Here is a 23,583-nt window from a genome sequence, read left to right as displayed (position 1 = left end):
TCTCTCTCCCACTCCCTCTCACACTCCTCCCTCTCCTTCCTCCTGGTTAGCTTCCATCTAGACTGTCCTGACTCCCTTTTCTCCAGTGCTACAAGAAGCAGCACTGGGAGCCCAGGCTCCAGGGCTTTCTTCCTCTCCCTCCCTCCCCTTTGCCCAAGTCACCATGGAAGGCTCTGCAGGGAGCAGGAAATGGGGTGGGAGCCCAGGGCTCTGCCACCTCACTGGCTGTCCATCAACCTGCCTGACCAGGCCCTGGCCAAGACCAGGTCAGCCCTTAGGGATGGCCCAGGATGCTGGGACACGGAGGTGAGTGAGGCCGGACTCAGGAGGCAGGAAGCGGAAGGCAGGGGGGACAACAACAGAAACGGGGTGAAGGTAGGGGAGGGACGGATGGGTGAGACATAGGAGAGGAGAGACAAGGGAGAAACAGGATGCAATGCAAAGGGAAGGGAAAGACTCTCTACTGCGGAGGTGGAGTTCAGGGAGGAGAAGAGGAGAAAAGGGCTCCCCTGCTGCAGCCCTTTCCCTCACTGCTCCCTGGCTGGCCCTGGGGACCGAGGCAGGAAAGGAAAACATGCGCCTGTTGGGCTGGGGCCCACTGGATGCAGCTGGAGCCTTCCTCACCTGTGTGAGCTCAGTCTGAGCTGGGCATGGGAAACAGAGCAGCCACGGGGACAGGAGACCTTCTCCCGGGAGGAGTGAAGAGTCAGGCCCCAGCTCAGCATGGGGTTCAGAGTCTGGGGACCCCCTCTCCAGACCACTGCATTCTCTTCTGATGGTCCCTGACTCCTGTGCCCCTCTGTGCTGACGCCTTGACCGAGGAATGCTACCCATCTCGGGCTACCCAGGGCTCCTCTGAGGGCCCAGGCAGGACGATGTGAGGTGGAGAAGGAGGGAAGGTGGGGCAGTGCCCTGAGAGGCCTGTCCTTCTGTCTTCTCAACCTCCTCTGCCCTCTGCCTTCCACTCCTGCCTCAGGAACGTGGCCCGCTTCTGGCCCCTTGACGTAGGAAACCCAGGTTTCTCCCCAAGGAGGGCCCAGCTCCTGGCATTGGGCCAGAGGAAGAGATGGCATGACAGCAGCCACCCGGGGCCCCAGCCCTCAGTATGGGGCAGGGAAGCCCCCATGCCAGCCCAGGACAGGTGGGGGGACCTTTTTGGAGCAAGAGAAGGAGAACCCCTCTTGGGACAGGGGAGGGAAGCCCCATCGCAGCATGGAGGCAGGAAGGCCTGTCTCAGCATGAAGCCCCGGACTAAAGGACTCTTCTCGGTCCAGGGCACCAGCATCTGAATACTGCTGGTCCTGGGGAGGTGGGGGAGCCCCACTTCCTGGAGCACACTCACAGAGGGCACACTGGAGGAGGCTTGGTGGAGACAGGCGGGAAACACACCCCAGAGCAGGTGAAAAGGGGACCATGTCAGAGGAAGGAAAGGAGACCTCTAAGCACAGATGAGTGAGTGACAGAGAGAGAGGAGAGAGAGAGAGAGAGAGAGAGAGTAGGAAGGGAGGTCTGTGGTCCTCCCAGAGGACCAAGGCTGCTTCTTCCTGCAGAAGGGCACCTTCAGACACAGCTCAGTCACCCAGGGAGCAAAGGTGCCCAGGAAGGGTGACCGGGGTTGCCACTGACCTTACATAGGCGGACTGGTCCGAGAAGGTGCTGCACAACGGGTTCCCTTCTAGCCATAGCTCTTCGAGCTTCAGCCCTTTCACCTTGCCCAACTCCCACGCCGACTCCAGCTAAGAAAGATGGGGAGGAAACTGGAGAAGGAGGGCCAGGGAAAGAGAGACACCCAGGACCCTGGGCCCTGAATTCCCCCGGCCCTCATAGTCACCCACAGGTGCCACTGCCTGGCTGTTGCCATTATCCTGATGTGTCCTGCCCTCCACCCAAAGTTGATCTGGCTCCCCCTTCTCACCTTATTTTTGGAGAGATTCAGGGTCTTGACTTTGGGAGCCTTCTCTGTAATGTCAGAAAGGCCATCCAGCTGGTACAGCTTGTTGTTGCACAAGTTCAAAGACAACAGCTTTGGGTCAAGAAGAGTTAGAGTGGCGGCTACTATCTTGGGCCTCAGAGACAAATCTGCCCTCCACCTTATCCCTTCCACCCCTCTAACTAAATACCAGCACTGAGCCTAAGGCTTCACCTCAGGGAAATTTCTTTCAATGATCTTCAGGGTGGCAGCCATGCAGTTTCTTCGATTCAGGATTATATCAATGTCACGGCCCATCAAGTCTTGAAGAAGCCAAGAGAAGGGAATCGGAAGGCTGGGAGGGCCCTGGCTGGACCAGAGCCAGCCCCAACCCCTCTGTAAATTGCCATTCCTAAGTCTCCCTCCCAGGCAGACCTCTCTGCCCCCGCTTGTCTTAGAATTGCTGCTGTCAGCCTTACCTGGGTCAAAGCGGAGATTCTGGAGATCAAGAGCTTGCTGGGAGACATTGTACCGTTTGTTCATGGTCAGCTGCAGAGATAGAGATGAAGACAGAGGCTCTGGGGCTCTGGTGATGGTGGTGGTGGTGGTGGTGATGGTGGTGGTGGTGGTGGTGGTGGTGGTGGTGGTGGTGGTGGTGACAGGGAAAGAGGGGGCCAGGGGAAGAAGAGGTGGGTCCAGGAAGCAGGCATACAATGATCCTTGAGTCTGTATTACCTTTAGCATCTCCATTTGGCCTGGCTTCAACTTATTCTTCACAGAGTAGGGCGCAGTAGAATGATTGACAAATATACATATCTGCAGGAAGGCAGGGTGGTAAGTACCAGGACCTCTAATCCCAAAGAGGATGACCAGCCCCCTGGCCTGTCCTCCTGCCCAGAGACTAAGTACAGGGCATGCCCTCGGCACACACCTTTTGGTTCTCATCATCATAAATCTTATAACTGACATCCTTCAATGCGGAGGCAGCGCTAGCATCCTGGACAAAGAAGCATGCCCGATTTCGGACGTAGTGGAACTACAGGGAGTGAAGGCAAGAGCAACAGCGTCAGAGGCCAATGGCCCCTGCTGAGCCAGGCCTCTCCCCGTCCCCCATGCCCACTCATCTGGCTTCACCATCCTCTCTTACATCAACCGGAGTGAAGCGGTCACTGCAATGGCTCTGGATTGAATTCATTAGCCATGCCTTGTCATACTTTATCCCGTAAGGAATCTAAGGGTAAAAAGAAGAAATAGGAGGGAAGGGAGAGACAACGTGGAACTAAGGATGGAGAACAGAACCAACCAGCTGGGTTTTTTTTTTCTTTCTTTCCAACCTTCTACTTAGCTTAGATTTCTAAAGAAAGGACCGCTGACATGATTTCTTATTTTTGTGCCAAATATAGATGCCCTAAACTCCCTTTCCCCCCATTCCGAAGCTCTCCTCCAAATAATCAACTTAGGGTGTTTTAAGTGGTCTTCCTTCTATCAGGTTCCAGAATAGTCCACCTAATGCAGACCCCACCAAGATACTCACTGTGACCTTAAACCAGTTCCTTGTGTATCCATCCTGTGTGTTCTGACTCATTTTTCTCTCCGGAGGTTTTCTATTTCTCCACGTGGTAATACGGATTTCGTCTTCACTATGCCATTTCATTCTTCTTTCGCATCGGATGCTATAAGGAGTGCTGTGGGGAAGAGGAGAGAAGGCGGGTATCCATTAAATCTAAGAAAGTCTCCTATACATGCTCCACTCACTGACGCCAGGGCTACAATTAGGACTGCTCAGCCACTATTCCACTTCCAGCATTCGTCAGTTCTCTAATGAGAGAAGAAAAGGAAGACCACAGAGAATGAAAGGGTTGCACAGTCCCGGGGGCTGCTACGTGCAAACCAGGCTGCCTGGTCACTTACTGTCTTAGTTGTTGGTCCTTGTGGACATCCCTCATCTCCACGCTTCCATCATTCTCCTGGCAGTGTGAAGGCGGGCGCTCATACCCACCATGTTCATAATGACAGCTCCTCTTGTCAAAATTATCCCGGAAAGAACTCCCACCTTTCTTTCTTCCTTGAAAAGTGCTACCATGGTCATGGCATTCTGCAACTGAGAACAAAAAGACAAGTTTGAGACACATCAATGGTCCACTTACCACGTACCACGTCGTGAGCTAACTCCATGGTAGGGCTAGCAAAGTGCCAACCCGCCACATAAGCCCCAGAAAACAAACTCCTCTGCCTGTCCAGATACAAGAGCCTTATCTCACAGGTGGCACAATCAGGGTAGGAATCTTGGGAGAGGAAGCAACTGTGTTGAACCTCCTGAGAAATGGAGCAGGAATTATAAAGAACAGAGGTGCGCGTGTCCATGGGTTAGACTAGACACCAGCCACACACCTGGAAGGGGTCCTAATCTTGCCTTCTCTCAGGCTTCTCTAATCTAACAACCACACCAACACCTGGGAGACAAGCTCTCTCGCACCTCCCAAATCCAATCCCCAAATGCATTCTGTGAACAATCAGCAAGCTATACCTCTTTGCCAGTGCAGTACGAGCTTTAATGACAGGTGGGTCCGATGTAACAGCTTCCCAAGCTGCCCTCCTGCCTCCAGCCTTGCCCTCAAAAATACTCAGTTTGAAATACCCAGAGCAAGCTTTCTTTTTGCCCAGCCCGAAATGCTTTCAGCCCAAGAGACAACTCTTCCTAAGCAAGTGACAGAATTACTGGAAAGAAAATCAGCAGATACTGAAAACCACTACAGTAACAGGATCTAAATGACATAAATAAAACACCGTACCCAACACACTGTACCCAACAACAAAAACAGAGCATGTATGTTTTTTCCCCCTCTACTGTCTTGCAGCATTCACGAAGGTAGACCATCTCCTGGACCATCAAACAGACCTCGACCAATTTCAAAATGTACACCTTGTCTCAGGGCACTCTTATGAATAAAATTTCGGTCACTGCTGACCTCTCTGCAATATACTGATTATGGCCAGGCCTCAGATGAACTTCTGTAGGGGGCATCATTGCTTTCACTGTGTGTGACCCGCTGTCAGGACAGTCCTGCTCCTCTCGATTGCTGGGACTTTCCCTGTGTGCCATTAGAAGTGAAATTAAATGTGGGCAGAGCATCTGACCTAGACATTCCTGATGCTTGGTCCCTACAACTTGGAAGTGGGGCTGGAGTGCTCTCTTTCTCTCACACTCTACATCCAACCGATCAGGATGGATGTATCTTCTCTTGGCTCTACCTTTAAAATATATCCAGAGTCTGGCCACTTCTCACCCCCTCCATTGCTACCTACCCTGGCCAGGTCACCAACATCTGTCTCCTGGATTATGCTGCCTTCCAAGTTGTCCTGCTTTTGCCCTTGACTCCCCTACCATCTATTTTCAACACAGGAGGCAGAGTGATTTTTTAAGGCATAAGTCAAATCTTGTCATTCCTTTACTCAAAATCCTTTAACCGCGGTTTGGAGCCCATCAGTATGTTAAAAAGTTATGAGTCCATAACAATACTCAACAACAGCAACAACAACAACAAAGACCCCTATTGGTGACATTTGGAGGATGTCCAGAAACCAACTCATTTTCATGAAAGTCCATAAATGAAAGGGAAAAAAATCAAAGATTAAAGTGAGGGTTAAGGGCACACGGTCAATATATGGAGCACAGGAAGAGTCAGAGTCATTTTTGAGAACACACATTACTTCAGAAATAACGTCACTGAGGGGAAGAAGGTGTAAAAGTGTAAGCTAGCCAACAGCTACAGCTACAGCCTCAGGCAAGGCCTTGTGTTGGAAGAGAGCACATGTGATAAAAAGCCACAGAGGGACCGGACAGAGAGAGATGCCGAAGACACAACACACACAGGCGTACATCCACTTGCTGAACTCTGGCATCTCAGCACAATCCCTGTCTCGCAGTTGTGCTGCCAGAATTACGGGCGATCTCAAGAGTATTATAAAGCAGCTAGTACTTCTCACCCAGACCGCCTGGGTTTCCCCTCAAGTCCCACCATGTACTGGCTGATCCCCCCACACAGACATAGTGGTGAGTAACCTTTATGACATCACGTGTGTTCCTACTGGTACTTCCTGTGTTAGTTTGGAATTCTGCCTACATCACTGCCATGCCACTGAGTGCATGGCATCAGCATCCCTGCTACGGCAGGGAAAGAACGGGATAAGAAGAAAACCAACCCTTGCCCAGTGGCAACCAACATCTGCTCAGTGTTGGGCAGACTCACTAGGTTTCTCTTGACCTCCTCACAGAAATCCCATGAGAATTTTATCCACAGTCCCTTTTCAGATCATGAATATTGGGTTCACAGATGTCGGGTACATTTCCCAGCCAGGTAAGTGGCAGAACAGGAATTATGTCCTCACGTATATTGGTCTGCCTCTATACCCTGAGTGCTCCTCCAGAGACTGCACTGGTTCTCCCTTAAATGGCAAGCTTTCAGGTCTCATCGACAGATTTTTTTGTAAGCAGGCCGGGATGATGTTTTGTGCTAGTCACTCCTGTTGGGGTGGGAACCAGGTGTCTTGGATAAGGTGGAGATCTCTGTCTTGGACCAGATGGGTGTAATCTGTTTGGGCCATGGGTTTTCAGATTAGGAGTCACTTTGGGCTGGTAGTGTCTGGCATAGAATAAGGGCCTAATTAATATTTGTTAAATGAATGCATTTGATGTAGGTTTGGGATCATCGACAAAACCACTTTTGAGAATACATCCATCTGAACCATTTCTACCGACCTCTATTTATATTTATTCCAGAGCTATTCGGGCTGCAGAACTATTTCATAACCTGACTGCAAAACTAGAACAAATTAATCTTTTCTTCTGCAACATTAATATTTTTTCATTAATGTATCCTTAGAAATAGAACTGAGTACCTCCCTGCAGACTGTGGCTAGAACTGCAGCTTTGAAGATCTCAGAGAAGGAGGCTTTTGCAAATAGTGCTGACAGAAATGAGGAGAGGCGTTCCCTGAATCCAGCAGATAGGGCTTTCTGGACATCTGGTCTCTGTAGGAAGAATGTTCTGGACCTACAGGCATGTTGTGTTCACTCAGCCTTGTGACAGACAGGAAGCATCATCCCTGTCTCAGAGAAAGGGAAGAATGTGTGGTCTGTGTGTCCGTGTTGCCCATGCGAGCAAGTATTAGTGTTTCGTATTACATGCTTCCACAATTAGGTTACAGATACATGTACTCCAAATCATGTTGGTAAACACATTGCCACACAACACTGGATCCCACTGCACATTTCTTTTCATGTGTTATGTATTATATATGGCCAAATTTTGTTTCTTGTTCAGAATATGCTTTTTAGTGCTTTTTTTCTTTTCTACCTCTCGGTGTTTTAATATTTGAACTGATAGTTTTAAAATAAGAAAGTAGGAGAGTTCCCTGTACACAAAAGTAATGGAACAATACCCACAGGTTGACCAGGGTTACAGAGTACCCCCAGCAGGGGTGGCCAAAAAACCCAGTGGAACACAGCCAGGGCTTCGAAGTGGGTTTAAGATTTTGAGTCCCTGCTCTACAGTTTCCCAGGAGAAGCACATGAGTACTTTTAAGCATAAAGTGATATTTTCGTAAGGATTTTCAATGATATTTACACCAATATACACTTCCACTAACCGTGTGTGAGTCTAATTTTCTGCAATATGCCTAACCATTCAGAAGTCATTCTTACACTTTGATCCAGACGTTTCACTTTTCGAATTTATTACATATATCACTCTCTGTCTAAATATATACATATAATTATACGGCTGTGCTTTACAGGTCCTTTGGGACAGAAGGATGACGGGACCAGAGAGTGGCTGATATTGTCAAAGGGAGAAGTAGAAATGACTGCCCTTGCAATGAAGTAGACATGGCAAGGAAGGGGCATGAGTACCTGACATACAGGGTGAAAAGGCCAAGGGATGGATGTGTGGGTCAGAAAGAAGAGGGTGAGTACAGAGAAGACAAAGAAACACACATTGAAAACGCCTCCAGGGAACTGAATTCATCCTGGCGATATGCTCCCCTCTGAAAACCCTCCTTCCTTCCTGTCCATGTACATCTTGTCTGTCCCTGTTACTTCACTTCAAGTTGAACACCAGAGAAACAGTTCCCACACAGTCCGAAAAAAGGAGAGATGGTATAGGGCAACACTGTGCAATGATGAGTCTCTTGGACAGAAGGCTGGAGTCGGGACATTGGTTCCAGAAACCACACCCATCATTGCCCAGCAGACTTTGAGTGGGCCCTGTCGTACTGCTCATTTCAGCCTTGACACAGAGTCGCACATTATTGGTTATGGGCCTAGGATTTGTGGTCAGATCCATCAGGATTTCAATCCTGGTGCTAAATTCTATGATCCAAGGCAACTAAGTGACCTCGCTGTGACTCAAGTTCTTTTTGCTTGTTTTCCCCCTAACTCAAAGATAGTAACAGTTTCTACCTCATGGGCTACTGTAAAAATTAAGTGAGTTAACACATGGAAACACGTGAAAAGCACCTGGAGAAATGCCCGTGACCTAACAAGCACTATAAATAAGTTGTCTATTACTATGTCGAGAACGTAGTACAACATCTGGCGTTTATTGAGGGAGAAATACGTGTTAGTTGCATTCGTTGTTATTAGTCCTCCTGGAAATGACAAGGAAAAGAGATGAGTGAGTGGCATCTGGTTGCCATGTCAGCTATTAATGTATCTTACAAAGCGGCAGTAGTAAAACAGGGCAGCCCCGGCTCCAGTGGGGAATCATCTGACATATGGGTTCAGGGAACCAAAACAGAAAGCTCAGAGCATGAAACAGGTTATGCGGAAGGATTCAGTAGGGAGCTTAAGTTCCCGTTTCCGATCTTTCAGGAAAAAAAAAAATGTATTATTATGCAAGAAATGTTTCAGGTTTAAGTGGCAGACTATAAGCAACAAGGTAGAATACTCGTCACGCCACGTGATACAAAGGGAAAGAAAAACAAAGTCAGGTTATAAAACTGTATATTACAGTATGATTCCTCAGAAGAAAATATTAATGAGAAGTTATGTTTTCATTTGTAAATATAAACACAAACAAGTCAGGGTAAAGGGACACGTGAGAATGTCAACCATGTGTAGAAGTAGGTGGCTGGAATGCAGAATGGTTATACTTTCACACCTACGCTTCATACTTGTATAAGAGGATGTTTATGGCCGGGTCAGGGTTTTGTCAAGTGCTTGGGGAGAAGCACTTTTCCTATCGACCCATATACAGCATAATGGAAACCGTTTATTACTGACAATCAAGTGTGAATATCTTCTCTCTGATTAATAAGCTAACCTCACTTTTGACGACTCATTCAACTTCTCCTGATCCCAGGTTCCTTACATGTAAAAATCAGAGATTAGGGCTAGCTACCACCTCAATCAAGATATAGAACATATAACACAACCCAAAAGGTTTCCAGTCGATCTCCTCTTCATCCCTTGGCTCCGTGCAAACATTGATATACTTTCCGTTACTATATATTCATCTTCCTGTTCTAGGATTTCACACAAATGGACTTGTGCATGCTGCACCCCTTTGGGTCTGGCTTCTTTAACTCGGCATAATGTTTCTGAGACCCATCCATGTTCTTGACTTTTCCTTGCTGAGTAAAAGCCCCTTGATGGATATACCATAATTTGTTCACCTTTGATGTTGTTTTAATGAAGTTTCAGGAGGAAGTGAAAGGAGATCCTTGCCTTCAAAAAGCCATCTTTCTTGGGCAGTCTTCTATTCTTTCGTAATAGACACAATTTCATCCTTTATCACTCCTTTGTCTCTCTGGGGAAATATTATCTTAATGTCTGTTTCAGCCTCTTCCATTCTTTCTGTTCCCTCAGTGCCAATTATTGGATTTGTTGAGTTTGTGCCATCCCTTCCTTGCTGATCCTGGGTTGTGGATGTCTTCTGCAGAGGAAGCTCCACTGCTGAATCAGCCCTGGGCTCACAGACACTTAGCTTTAATCCATACCTTGCTCTGGCCTTGCCGGCAGTTTAGCTTCAAGCCGGACACAACCTGTGGTGGCCCCGGCTTTACCACTGTGTTTTCCCATTTCCTTTCTCTTTGAAAAAGACAATCTTCTCGATGTCTTACATGGGAATCTTTATTTCATATTTTCCAGCGTAACTATGTATTTATTATTACTGTAATATTATCATTCTGAAACCACAATTATAAAATTTTAAAATTAAATATTGTGAAAGGCTTGCATTCTTATGATTTAAATTGTTCAAGCAGTTCTCAACCATGATTACACATTAGAGCCACTTGGGGACACTGAAACAATTCACTAGCACCAGGACACACCCAAAACAATCAAAGCAGAACCGTGGTTAGATCCAGGCAACCACATTTTTTAACTCTCCATGTGAATTGCAGTGTGCAACCAAGGTTGAAAACAACCGTGTTAAAGCCTCAGTTTTTGGCTTATGCTTGCCAGAGGATCCTAGCAATAGCTGCCTCCTCATTTTGCTGACTTCCCACTCAGCACTGTTTTGGGGACCCAGTGAGTCTATTAGCTTAGAGGTCAGCAACTTATTAGCTTAGAGGTCAGCAACTATGCCCTGTGGGCCAAATCTACCCCAGATCCCCATTTCCTTCAAGGTCTTTTGCTTGCAACCAATTTTGCTGCCAAGTACTCTGTTAATCAAGGTCCCAACTTGCCTATGCCAGAATTCACTCTAGCTCTTTTATACAAACAAGATATCTCTAATAAAATATATTACATAGCTTACAAAAACTCTGTGAGGGCCAGAAAAGCAGGCCTGGATGCTGCACAGCCAGGAGAAGTCCACCCACGTGATGGAACTGCTACAGCTGAAATACCACTGCTGCCTGCCCGTTAATTGACATGCATGACAGAGACTGAATTCTAGAAACTCTGCAATGGCTGCCGCATGAAAACTGGAGACCTCCCTCATCACAGGTAGTCCACCCCACATATGGCTCCCATGTTATTCAGTTCCACTTCTGAGTCTCATGTTGGCACATACGCTTGATGCGATAAATATCCCATTTGAGACCCTAACTGCAAGGGACTCTGGTAAATTGTATGTGTGTGAGAGTGTATTTGTGTGTGTGTGTGTGTGTGTGTGTGTGTGTGTGTGAGAGAGAGAGAGCGAGAGAGAGAGAGAAAGAGAGTGTGTGCGCACATGCGTGGGGTCATGTGCATGTGTGTTTCCTTTCATGTTCCAACTTTCTAGTCTCTACAGTACAGGAAAGCATATAAGAATGTTTAAGAGTGCTGGAATAGTTGCCAAGTAAGCAGATTCATCGTATATTTCACAAGACATGTTTTCTGTTGTAAATGGTATATTTACAATAATGATGGTATTTTCTTTGTTACAATGGTTTGTGTATGTTCGTCTTATAGCCAACAAACTTGTTAATCTCCATTATTATTTTTAATTTTCTGTAGCTTCTCTTGAGTTTCATATGAAGATAGTCACGTTGACAGCTTTTTCACTTTTATACACGTATTAATTTATGTATGTAGGCATGCATGTATCACAGCTTACCGCACTGCCTAGTATGACATATGGCTTACTGCACTAGACTCAGTACGACATTGAACAGAATTCGTCATACCAGTCATCTTTATCCCTTTTCTGATTGTAAGGAGAATACTTCTAATGTTTTACTATTAAGGGTGGTGTCTGATGGGGTCTATTGTTTTGATACCCATTGTCAGTTTAAAGAGATAGCTTTCTATATTACCGATCTGCTGAGAATTATTGGTATTGTTGTTGTTCAATCCCGGTTGGTTAATTTATTGCATACTTTTTTTTTTAACTGGATCTTTTGTGGTATTTGTCCTGTCCTCCTCCCTTTATTCAGCTAATGTGTTAGATTACATTATGGATCTCTTAAAATGTTAAACTCAGCTTGCATGCTTGGGATTAAACACAACCTCGTCATGCTGTATTATCTGCTTTACCCATTGTTGGGTTTAGTTTGCTATTAATTGATTTATATTATTTGCGTTTATGTAACTAATTCGGGTTGGCTAGTAATTTTGCCTTTGCATGTATTCCTTGTCAAGAATACATTGAATAAACCAAGGTTTTCTATTCCTTCAGTTTGGAAAGTTATATATATTTTTCCCCTGGAATTCATCTATTTAATCTAAATTTTCAAATTTTCACATCCTTTTCATAATGTGATCTTTTTCAATCTTTTCTGTCACTGTAAGTGTGACACTATCTTCATTCCAAAAGTGGCTGACCCGCACCACCTCGCTAATTTTCTCTGCCCGTGTGGCCAGAGATTTTATCATTATCCTGCGCTTCTGAAACACTGACATCTAGCAATTTTGTTCAACTCTCTCACATGGTGTTTTCACTTTCATCAAGGTAGGCTCTATTTTTTTATCATTTTTCCTCAACATAGCGGTAAGACATGGGGATTATTCCACATTAAGTAAATGATCAATGAAAAGTCCTTTCATCTACCACCTGGTTTTATTTTTATAATTGAATACAATGGATATTCAAATATCCAATACATTCCCTCATTTGGAAAAGACCTCTGGCTTATCAGTGCTGGTCTTTTTAACCAGTGCCATCGTGTCTATTCAATTAAACTATCAGATGATTAAGGAAGAGGGCATTGCATCATTGATGTAAAAGAATTTTTACTATAAGCTTCCTTTAAGAGAAGAGCAGGCAGCGTAGAAAGAAGCAGAAAGGACATCGACTTTGAAATCACGCCTGGGTGGATTCAAATCCTGATTCTGTCACTTACGGCCGATGTGATGTTAGGCAAGTACTTAATCCCTCCCAGCTTTGATTCCTTCATGCAGTAGTCAGTGCTGCCATTTACCAAGTGTTTACATTCTCCCCTGTACCAGGCACCTGGTAGGACTGCCCGACCCGACTGCCTTCCTTGGGGCAGGGCCGTGCATGTGACTAGCTCTGGCCAATGGGTTGTGAGTGACGAGTGACACGGGTTATTTCTGGGTCAGAACCTTTGGTTGTTGGTTTGAGACCCTCTACGGCTCTCTCCCACTCTGACGCAGTGAGTAACCCCTTTCTAGATGGTGGCTGCTCCATTAGTTTGGGTCTCTGAGTCATTCCAATAAGAATGGCTCAGAACCCAACATCCACCATCCCGTGAAGGATATGCACCTGGCATAAACATGCAGCAGGAGTGAGAAATAAGTCACTGAGGTTTGGGGGTTGCCTATAAGCACAGCGTTACACTCAGCCTCTCCTGACTCATATATCTCATCTGTCAATTAAGATAACACCCTCTCAGGACTTTCCTGAGGGTTAAATGCAGTAACTTGCATGACAGCCGAGGTTATCACAGTGCTTGACATATGACAGGGGCTCAAACTATGGCAGCTGTAATTATTAAGTAATAATAAAATGGTTCTGAAGAAGTGTGGTTTTTTATTGTGTAAAATGAGCGGTACTGCATCTGCTTGTCCTGACAGGTAAGTTGTATCTTGTTTTCAAGAGTGGGGGCACTTTATTTGCTGCCACAGGTAAGGCTTCCTAATGACTTGCATTTATGCACATATTGTCTGCCACCACCATGGTATCAGATGCATGCTTGGCGGTATCTCTGAAGAGTAAAAAAGTACAAAGATTCAAGCAGGAGAGACTGACTGATGACATGAGATAAAATGAATTAAAGAGCAACAATCAATGTCTTAATGAGCAGACTAGATTACAACTATTATAAACCCACATTCCATTGTTCTGAGTAAACAAAGGCACAAGGTTTTAAAGTGTTAGAAGATGTAGTCTGAACAGGGTTTCCCCAAATATTTTCTGAAGAACACTGGTACCTCAAATGCTCTGTGGAAAAAAATGTTCCATTCCCATACAAGTTGGGGAAAGTAGCCCCCCCTTTGAGACTCGTGTTGTTTATTAGCATATCATCTAAAAAAATCCTACAGTATTCGTTTACCTTCAGTTCTGTATGTCCCACACTTCTTTAGAGTAGAGCACATTTTGTTGTTGCTTTGTCCTGACACTACAGTCTCACAGAACGAACTTGGAAATGCTGAAATGAGAGAAAAATAGATTATTCAACCTACATGTAATATCAAATATCACAAGTGACAATATTCTCTAACCATCTGACAAGCAATATTTGAAACCCCGTAAGTTTAAGCACAATCTTGCTATTTGCTCAACTTCATTCACCCAATACCGCTTTCATGATGTACCAAATGTTATCACCCATGATTGTACCTTAAATCCATTCACTATACTTTTTTCCACAGGAAGAAAAGGAGAGAGTTTTCAGAAAGGAATCTAAGAAGCAATCATTAGAAAATCAGGGGTTGATGGGGGGAGAATCAGAAACAAAAGAGTGTGAAGCTATACTACTATAAGCTACTGAGAGATCCTAAGCGCACACACACACAAAAAAAATGTCACCCACTCCCAAATGTACTTTTTAAAGCCAATGGAGTTCAAATAAAGTATAACAAGTAAATTCTGAATCTTCACATCATGACGACTTGGACACTTTTATTGAAATATCAAATTCTCTTTTTAAAAAAATTCCCGATTCCCCTCTCTCCCTTTCGCCCACCCCCCTGAGCCCATGTTTAGAAGGTTTAGTAGAAAAATAAATCATGGAAACAAAGAGAATCTTTACATAATCAAATAAGAGACAGAAATTAAGATTGGGTCTGGAATCGTCTATACAAACTGGGATCTAGGCAGTCTCGAGTGTCCTTAATAACAACATGGTCTGAGGAGGGGCAGAGGACAGAATCACCTGGCACAGACGGTGAATCGGGCAGAGTGACAGGCAAGGGTAGGGCTTTTAGTGTGGGGGCGGGAAGGGGGGGGAATCCCATCAGGCTTCCACAGCCCTGCCCCTGAGAAACGACTTACGAGTTCATGAATCCCTGCCGCCCCACTACCAACCCTACCCCTATCCCCCAGCCCCACATTCTGCCCCAGTGCCTTCTCCTCCAACAACAGCTCCTGTGAGTCCAGGATCAAGGCGGATGGCAGACATAGATGCATGGGTGCGCACGCACACACACACACGCACGCACACACAGTTTCTCTGCCAGGTGTTCACAAGTTCGGCCACATTAGGGAAGTCCTCCGCTACCTCCACCCAAACCCCCCATACACCCCGACCCTCCCGCACCCCCCACCCTCCCCACCCCCCCACCCTCCCGCACCTCCCGCACCCCCCACCCTCCCGCACCCCCGGCACCCCCCACCCACCCCACCCCACCCCACCCCCTCAGAGCCTCTGCTATTTGGAGATTGCTCAGCCACGCCTTAAAGCCCAATTCTCAGTAAACTTCTAGTACCGGCTGGTTCCACTCGTACCAGACTTCCTTCCAGCGCGTCAGGATATGAAAGTTGCCGGAAGGCTTCAGATCTGAGCCGAAGTCCAATAAAACTTCCGCCTGAGTCAGGGTGTGGAGCCGGAAGCACCTCTCTGACAGGATTCGGAGCACTCAATCTTCACGTGAATGGGAGGGTGCGGAATCTCACGTGACCATAAGAGCCACATGTACAACAGCCATTGGTTAGCTGCGGTGCTCACAGGACCGCAAAGGCTTTGCCTGCCACGAGATGACAGGAGCCACTTGGCTGCCCACACACACATCTGCAGAGTTTGGCAGCTCACAATCTTCACGTGACAGAGAGGAATGAGCCTAACACTGTGGCCATGGGGAGGGGTGAGTGGGAGCAGTGGACATGACCATAGCATCCACATGACCCTAAACAGTAGGTCATCTATATGACTTCGAGGGCTGAGACTTCCACATGCTGGTAGCCAGTAATGGCCAGGTGAGGGAAGAATCCATGTGAGCAACAGGGTTCAGGAGTCCACCATACTGTAGTGACTGGAAGAGCTGGGCCCATCACATGACCATAGGAGCAACATGACAAGAGAGGCCACATGACCTCAAAGTTTTAGAGCCCTTGGTGCTGATATGACCAGTAGGGCCCTATCAGTAGGGCTCATAATTGTAGTGTTCACATGATGGTGGCATCCACGTGGCTTGCAGCCTTAGGATCCTGCAAGGCTCAAGTACCCAGGATAGGTGGGTGAGCTTGGGTCAACTTCCTGACAGTAGAATCCAACCACTGCAGAGTTCTCCTGATCTGCATGTTTCAGGAGACCGTTCTGTTCATGAGACCTGGAGCTCTGAGATTGCCCATATTACTGAGATGGTGGTACCTCCAGATAACCTCCCACAGCACACAGACTTGAGCTTTTGCTACCCTCACCTCACTTTTTTTTTTTTTTTTTTTTTTTGAGACGGAGTTTTGCTCTTGTTGCCCAGGCTGGAGTGCAATGGCATGATTTCAGCTCACTGCAACCTCCGCCTCCCGGTTCAAGCGATTCTCCTGCCTCAGCCTCCCAAGTAGCTGGGATTGCAGGCGCCCACCACCACGCCCAGCTAATTTTTGTATTTTTTTAGTAGAGACGGGGTTTCACCATGTTGGCCAGGCTGGTCTCGAACTCCTGACCTCAGGTGATCTGCCCGCCTTGGCCTCCCAAAGTGCTGGGATTACAGCATGAGCCACCGCTCCCGGCCCCCCATCCCTCTTTAATATATTTTATGTGTTTCATTTCTAACAACACGTGAAATTTAATACTTCACAATGAAGAAGGTCCTCACTAAAACCATAATCATAGACACTACTGCAAGAGCCTAAGCAGTCCGTACAGGTAAGCACTGTTTACTTAATTTCATACAGGGCCAAAGGAAATTAGGGCAAACCTAATGAATTTTAGTTGTTCATTTGAAAAAGAAAATGTGTATAGTGATTAGTATGTGCCACACACTCCAAAAGGTTACCGCATTTAAGAGTGCTAACTCTATGGAGTAGGTAGTATAACAGAATTTTACAGACGAGGAAACTGAAGCACAGAGGCGTTAAATCACTTGCCTAAGAGGTCACAGACATTGCAGGTGGCAAACCAGCTGTCTCCCCCAGGCAGTATGGTGCTAGACTGTTCTGACCACCCCCGGGTTTTCCAAAGGAAATTAATTTTAGTTCAGCCTTATTAATTCACACAAACTGGAAGCCAGACCCAGTTACTGAAGAGTTGAGGTCTTGGATGTTCTCTTTGAAATACCAACTAAGAAATTTCAAGTACTGTCAGTAATTAGCACCAGTCAATGCTGAATCTAATTAAGGACCTCAGGAGATTCATTTAAATGTATACATATAAACCTACCATTAATATATAAAATATGTATATATGAAAGTCAGTATAAAATGTTTGAGGTTAGCTGAAAACATTTCCTTCTTTAAAAAAATTACTGAAAAGAGAAAGATTAGCACTTTTAAAACATCATACCTGGCTCTGGCCTGAACTGCAACAATTTTGTATGAGTGGAATCTGAATTATAATTAGATTTCACTGTATTTTTATTCTGCCTGTGTCTCCCCAGAAAGGATAGAGAAAAGAGAAGGAGAGTACACATTGCAGTTGTTGTTAATCGCAATTTCACGACCACCTGTTTTGCTGGTTTGTGTGGGAAACTGCAGCTTCACCTGCATGTCCAAAATAAATTTGGTGGAGTGGAGTCTTTCTGATTTGCTTGCAGAGGCAAACAATGCTATACAAGCATTGGGATTACTTTGCTAGGTTCCCGCACTGTGGCCTGGCTACATAAATAAGCAGAAGAAAACTCAACAGACCAAATTTTCCACCACAGTTAAAGTTGAATATACTAGTGAGGACAACAGGCTGTGTTAGTGGCTCTAAGGTTATCAAAGGAAGTCATGATATTTGGACGATATTGGGCGCGTTCACGGTGGTATGGCCGTAGACTGAAGTCATGATAATTGGAATGAATGACTAGGAAGCGCCAATCAGTGGGTCTCGGATAATTCTGGAGAATTATTTATGGGACACATGTAAATAGAGGATATAAAATGGGGCTACATATTTATGAAAGAGCCTATTATGAAATTTCAAGTTGGATTTAGGAAGTATCTATACAAAGTCACAGGATGGAAGCCTACTTCAAGACCTGGTATCTGCCCTGGCCCCCGTTTCTATCATTACATACAGATGAACAGATCACCAGTAAAAGGCACAGCACAATTTTATCTAGCCCACCTATGCTCAACTGGAACTTACACGGTATTGATGATGGTCAAATTCTTTCACCAAAAGACAAATCCTAATTATAACTCTTACTTTAATTCACAGTTTGCTCCTGTCAGACCTGATACTCATATCATTCACTCTTTCTCTGAGATGATTATCAGGACTTTGTTAGGATTTTTTTTTTTTTAAGTTACACCAATGGAAGTCTGTCGGTGCTCTAATATGCACAAACAGTGGGGGAAGGTAACTCTGTGGACAAAGATTCATATGTCCGGGGTCCAGTTTAGGCACTGAATTTATTAGGCGCTGTGTTTACTGGGGTGAGGCAGGTTGATAAGCCATTTCTCTTGCGTGTGATACGGCAGGATTTAACAGGAACAACTTCTCCTTCTTTTACCTTTTCGTTCTGTGGTGGACATTTTGGGGATCCATGCTAGTGGCTTTAGGAGGGGTGGCTTTACCTAACACAGAAAAGAGAGAAAGGGGAGTACTGGAACTCCCCTTTCTAGAACTTACTTACTCAGAACTCCCCTAAGTATCAGAACGGTTGCGACGTTGTTAAATTAAACATAAATACTCTAACGCTTTTGGTTTGAACAGATACATACACCTGAACTAGGTGTCCTATGTAAATTAACTTTCAGAAAGTAAAAATGACTGACCTAGCAACAGCATACAAGGGAAAGCATAAGATGGGACTCTATCATTACGGGCATTACATTCAAGACCTGTTTTTCTGTGTTCCTTCGTGAAATTCATTAGCGTAGCTAGAAGTAACTTTATGTCAGTGCCAAGCAATAGGAAAAAAAGAGAAGCAGTTGCAGATAGTGCTCCCTGGCAAATTGCTCAATATGCCAACCCCTCAATGCAAGGTAAAATTCAACAGCTCTAGGTAATAGGCTCACTCTTTGAGGACTACCACAACATACAAATACAAAATTATGTCTACAAGGAAAACTTCCTTCAGGCAAAGGATGGAGAGGAGTGAAAAGGTAGGGATTCCATAGAGGGTGTTTACTGAAGAGCAGTGCCATTTGTGAAGATGCAGCTCTCTGGTCCAAACCCCCTCCACTGTGAAGACCATTTAAAACAATGAGCAATTATGATTCAAAGATTTCTAATGTATTAAAAGTAGAGAATTTTAAATTTCCCAGATTGCTTCCTGTTATCTGCTCAAGGCAACTATATTTTGCAATTCAAGAAATAGTTCTAAATACTCTGTTGGAAAATACTGTCAGATAATTTTTAAAACATAGTCAGCCACATTGTTTTCTTTTTAGTGTATGCAGCATTTATACCTTGTTTCTTGTGATCAGCTTATCACTGATAATTTATTATCAGTGATTAGATCCTGTGAAAAAAGGCAAGATATATAATGTTTGTGTTTTCTTTTAATCCTTGGATTTAAAACATCACGTAGTTTATCAACAGTTATAGAATGACTCACTGGCTGGATTGCTCAACTGGCTAAGTCAATCAAGGAGTTAGCAAATAATGAACCAGTGAACACGATTAAGCTCATTTCACAGTGTAGATGCAGACTAAGGCAAAACATGAGCAATAACACATTACATATCTTGTCTATGTGATACTACAACGTCTTTATTAAGAGCTTCCATTTATATATTGATAATTAATTTTCAAATCTGCATATTCGCAGATTGGGTGATTATCTTATTTTTAATTTTCTTTTCATATGCATATTTGGTATTGTTATGGAAACATATTCTTTTCAAAGCGTGAATAAATGTGTGCATTAGAGGAAAAGGTTGTTCTTTAATTTTGGTACATTATAGGAGTCTGACTCTCTTCTTTTTTCTCTCCTTGAGACGGACTCTCGCTCTGTTGCCCAGGCTGGAGTGCAGTGGTGCGATCTTGGCTCACTGCAACCTCCGCCTCCCGGGTTCAAGTGATTCTCCTGCCTCAGCCTCCTGAGTAGCTGGGACTACAAGCGCATGCCACCAAGCCCTAATTTTTTTGTATTTTTAGTAGAGATAGGGTTTCACCACGTTAGCCAGGATGGTCTCGATCTCCTGACCTCGTGATCAGCCCGCCTTGGCCTCCCAAAGTGTTGGGATTACAGGCGTGAGCCACGGCGCCTGGCTGAGTCTGACTTTCTTCTAAAGACCCAGGGCTTTTAAGGTTGTTCCATACTGAAATCTGAGGATCTTTGATATCTTTGTGAAGTCTGTGTCGCGTGTTTACAGAAAGACAAAACTTAACGGTAAATACGAAGAATTCAGTTACCTCTGGTCAAATAATCCTAACACAACATCATCTCAGGACAAGAGCGAATAGAAAACTTTGCCGACGAATCGAAAAAGAATGAAAATGGGATTTAAGCATCCCACAGTGGATGCCTGTTGAGGTTCTTCCAAAACATATACTGCACAGGGGAGAGCTCTCATGCTTTGTAACCGCCTATTCATGAATTCAATATAGGTAGCTCCTGAATAAAATATCCGTCTTTGTTACCCGAAGAGTCACTCTATTAGGACACAAGAAGGACTTGAATATTGTGGTTACTATGCTCATAGCGGTATATATAATTTGAGTCTGTACCTGCAGGTGACATTTTTGTTTACCTACACAATATACATTCCTCACCTTCCTGGCTGGGCTCAGGCCTCCATCAGTGTATCTCCTCCCAGTAGAGTCATGTGCTTGAGGATATATGGCCACTTTCTTAGCTCCAAGAGTGGGCCCAGAATTAGTCTAATCTAATCCAATAATCCAATGCCCAATCCAGCAGTGGTTGGGTCAAGATTTAGCCTGGATGTTTACATCTTTCCGTTACTGGCTCAGTTAACCATGAAACTCACTCTGCCTCTGAACTCTCAGTTATATAAGCAAGTGTCTTTACCTATTGGATAAGCCAGCGAGACTTGCACTTTCTGTTAGTTGTAGTTTAAATATCCCTGACCAATACACATTCAATTTTATGGCCATCCTGGGCATCTTACAAAGATGGCTTTCTAAAATAAAACCAACGTATTGGTCTTTTGGTCAAAGATTTTTATGTCTCATTCAGAGTTTCTACACCTAATCTTGTCACAGTCCTGGGTGATTTCAATGTCCATGTAGAAAACCAGTCTGATTCCAAGCCTCATGGTCGCAAGACCTCTTATTTGACTGCCATGCTCAGGGGCACTCCCTGGATCTTGCTACTTCTTGGAACTGCCCCAACTCTAAAATAGTGCACTTTTATATTTTATTGTGGCAACCTTCTTGTAACTCTGAACATCGTGCTTTATGTATTTCTTGGCTATGTTTTTGAGTGCATGTTAAGTTCAGACTTTTTAGCTCTTTGATAAATGTTCTATCATGACTACATGGTGGCCTTCTTTATTCCAAATAATTATTGTTGTCTTAACGTCTATTTTGTCTGATACTAATACAAAAGTAACAGTTTTAAATGGTTTGACTTGTGGCTGGTATTGTGGGTTTCTTTATGGTTTTTTTTCCATCAGTTTATTTGCTTCATTTCTGTGACAGGCCGGAAGAGTTATGTTCATGATGCCCGATATTGAGATGACATTGCTATGAGAGACAAGAGAGCCAAGGTGAGAGAAGGAGCAATGAGCAGGCAAGTGTATGACATGCTGGGCTTTCATAATCCTGCAGCTTCTCAAGTTCAGAGGACTCTCTACAGGCAAAGAGGTTCTGGTGGATGGCAGGAAAGATCTGGGACAACTAAGCCCCAGGTAAGACTACACTAAGACTACTTTATTAATCAAGAGTGGTTTCACTGAGGAGAGACAGGGGCATTTTACTGCTGAGGATTTGGGACTGGAGCACAGTTAGACAGGAGGAATATGTTTTGGTGATCAATTGCACAGCATAGTGAGCAGAGTTAATAACAACGTATCATATATTTCAATATTGCTTTAAAAGTAGATTTTAGATATTCTTAACACAAAATGTGATAAGTAGGTGAGATGATGGATATATTAATTAGCTTGAGTTAGTCTTTCTAAATGTATACACTTATCAAAATACCACATTGTACCCCGTAAATATATACAATTTTGTCTAATTAAAAAATAAATAAAATTTAAAAACAAATGAAAGGAACACAGTGCTTGAAGTCCAAGTTTTTGCTATTACTAATAGAACCTCTCTTTTACTTCATGATACTTGACCTTTCTTAGTTTCAGCTTTCTATTTAGCTATAGACAAAATTTTCCATCATGATCCTCAATTTGGCGTGAGAATTAAATGAAACTTAGATATAGCTCTGCATAGAATAAGGGCTAAGTGGTTTAGCACTGTGGGAGCAGCTGAGTGCCAAACGCTCCTCCTCCACCACCCTCTTTATTTAATCATCAGTCCCTGGGACACCGGCTGCCATGGCTATGCACATGAATACGCTTGAGGGTAAGGAGAATGCATGCTACGGCAGCAACTGTGGTACCCATGCCTGAAAAACAATGACTGTTAGGCAACTTGGTGCCATGCTTAAGTCTCCCTGGGGTGCTGGGGTCCTTCCTTTTTTTTTTTTTTTTTTTTTTTGCATAACTCACAAGGGCTCATCCCCAGGCCCATCTCAGGGATGCACAATCACAAATAATGTCCATATGGCTGCCCCAAGCAGCCACTGATGTTCACCAGGCTAGACACAGTGACCAAAGAGCTCTAGCTTGATCCTTGCTAAACAGGACTCAAGTGCTGTATTCGTTTCTTCAGGCTGCTATAACAAATTTCCATAAACGGGTGGCTTGAAACAACAGAATTTTAAACTCTCACATTTCTATTGGCCAAACGTTTGAAATCAAGGTGTCAGAAAGATTGGTACCTTGTGGTGAGGGTGGCAGTTAAAGAGAGAATCTGTACCACACATCTCTCTTAGCTTCTGGTGGTTGCTGGCAATCCTTGGCATTCCTTGGCTTGTGGCAGCTTAACCCTAATCTCTGCCTCGGTTGTCACATGGTATTCTCCCTGTGTGTCTGTCTCTTTGTCCCAATTTTCCTCTTCTTATAAAGATACCAGTCATTGGATTAGGGCACACCCTAGTCCAGTGTGACTTTATCGTCACTTGATTACATCTACAGAGACCTTGCTTCCAATTAAAATCACCTTCACAGATTCCAGGTAGACATAAATTTGGGGAGGGGGGTGCACGCACTATTCAACCCAATAGAGTCTGCCCTCTGGCTCCCCAATATTTACATTCTTACCGTGAGTAAATTATATTCACCCCATCTCCAAATCCTCCAGATCTTCACCTATTCCAGCATTAACCCTAAATCCAAAATCTCATCTAAAATTGTCAGGATCTTACCGAGTAGACTTTGGGCAAGGTCCACCCTGGGGCAATGTTCCTCTCTGTCTGCAGACCCATGAAGCTAGAAAACAAGTTATCTACTTCCAGAATACTACAGTGGGACGGACGTAGGTTAGACGTCCCCTTCACAAAAGGGAGAAGGTGGAAAGATTAAAGGGGTTGTCGCTCTGGGGCAGGTTCACAACCCAGCAGGAAAAAAGTCCATTAAGTTTCAGGCCAAGAGTAAACTTCCATGGCTCAATCTTCTGTCCCAAGGGCCCTTCAGGGAGGCAGCCCCAAACTTTAGGACCCTCCAGGGAGGC

The 23,583-nt window shown here is 44.7% G+C and overlaps 1 protein-coding gene across 1 annotated transcript in view; it reads right to left on the bottom strand.

Moving 5' to 3' along the window:
* NXF2 (nuclear RNA export factor 2) overlaps window positions 1-23,583 on the bottom strand; it is a 79,556-nt gene that overhangs the window by 5,750 nt on the left and 50,223 nt on the right. The window contains exons 3-12 of the mRNA NM_022053.4: window positions 13,852-13,947; window positions 3,821-4,010; window positions 3,444-3,594; window positions 3,057-3,140; window positions 2,841-2,945; window positions 2,645-2,725; window positions 2,389-2,458; window positions 2,144-2,232; window positions 1,916-2,023; window positions 1,627-1,736 (exon numbers count right to left, since the gene is read on the bottom strand). Of these exons, the coding sequence (NP_071336.1) occupies window positions 1,627-1,736; window positions 1,916-2,023; window positions 2,144-2,232; window positions 2,389-2,458; window positions 2,645-2,725; window positions 2,841-2,945; window positions 3,057-3,140; window positions 3,444-3,594; window positions 3,821-4,010; window positions 13,852-13,894 (1,031 nt within the window). The 5' untranslated portion in view covers window positions 13,895-13,947. The remainder of the gene's footprint in view (window positions 1-1,626; window positions 1,737-1,915; window positions 2,024-2,143; window positions 2,233-2,388; window positions 2,459-2,644; window positions 2,726-2,840; window positions 2,946-3,056; window positions 3,141-3,443; window positions 3,595-3,820; window positions 4,011-13,851; window positions 13,948-23,583) is intronic.

This window comes from Homo sapiens, chromosome X (assembly GCF_000001405.40).
Source record: "Homo sapiens chromosome X, GRCh38.p14 Primary Assembly".
In the NCBI taxonomy this organism is placed as follows: Eukaryota; Metazoa; Chordata; class Mammalia; order Primates; family Hominidae; genus Homo; species Homo sapiens.
The sequence above is the reverse complement of the archived record's forward strand: the minus strand, read 5'-3'. Positions and strand labels throughout refer to the sequence as shown.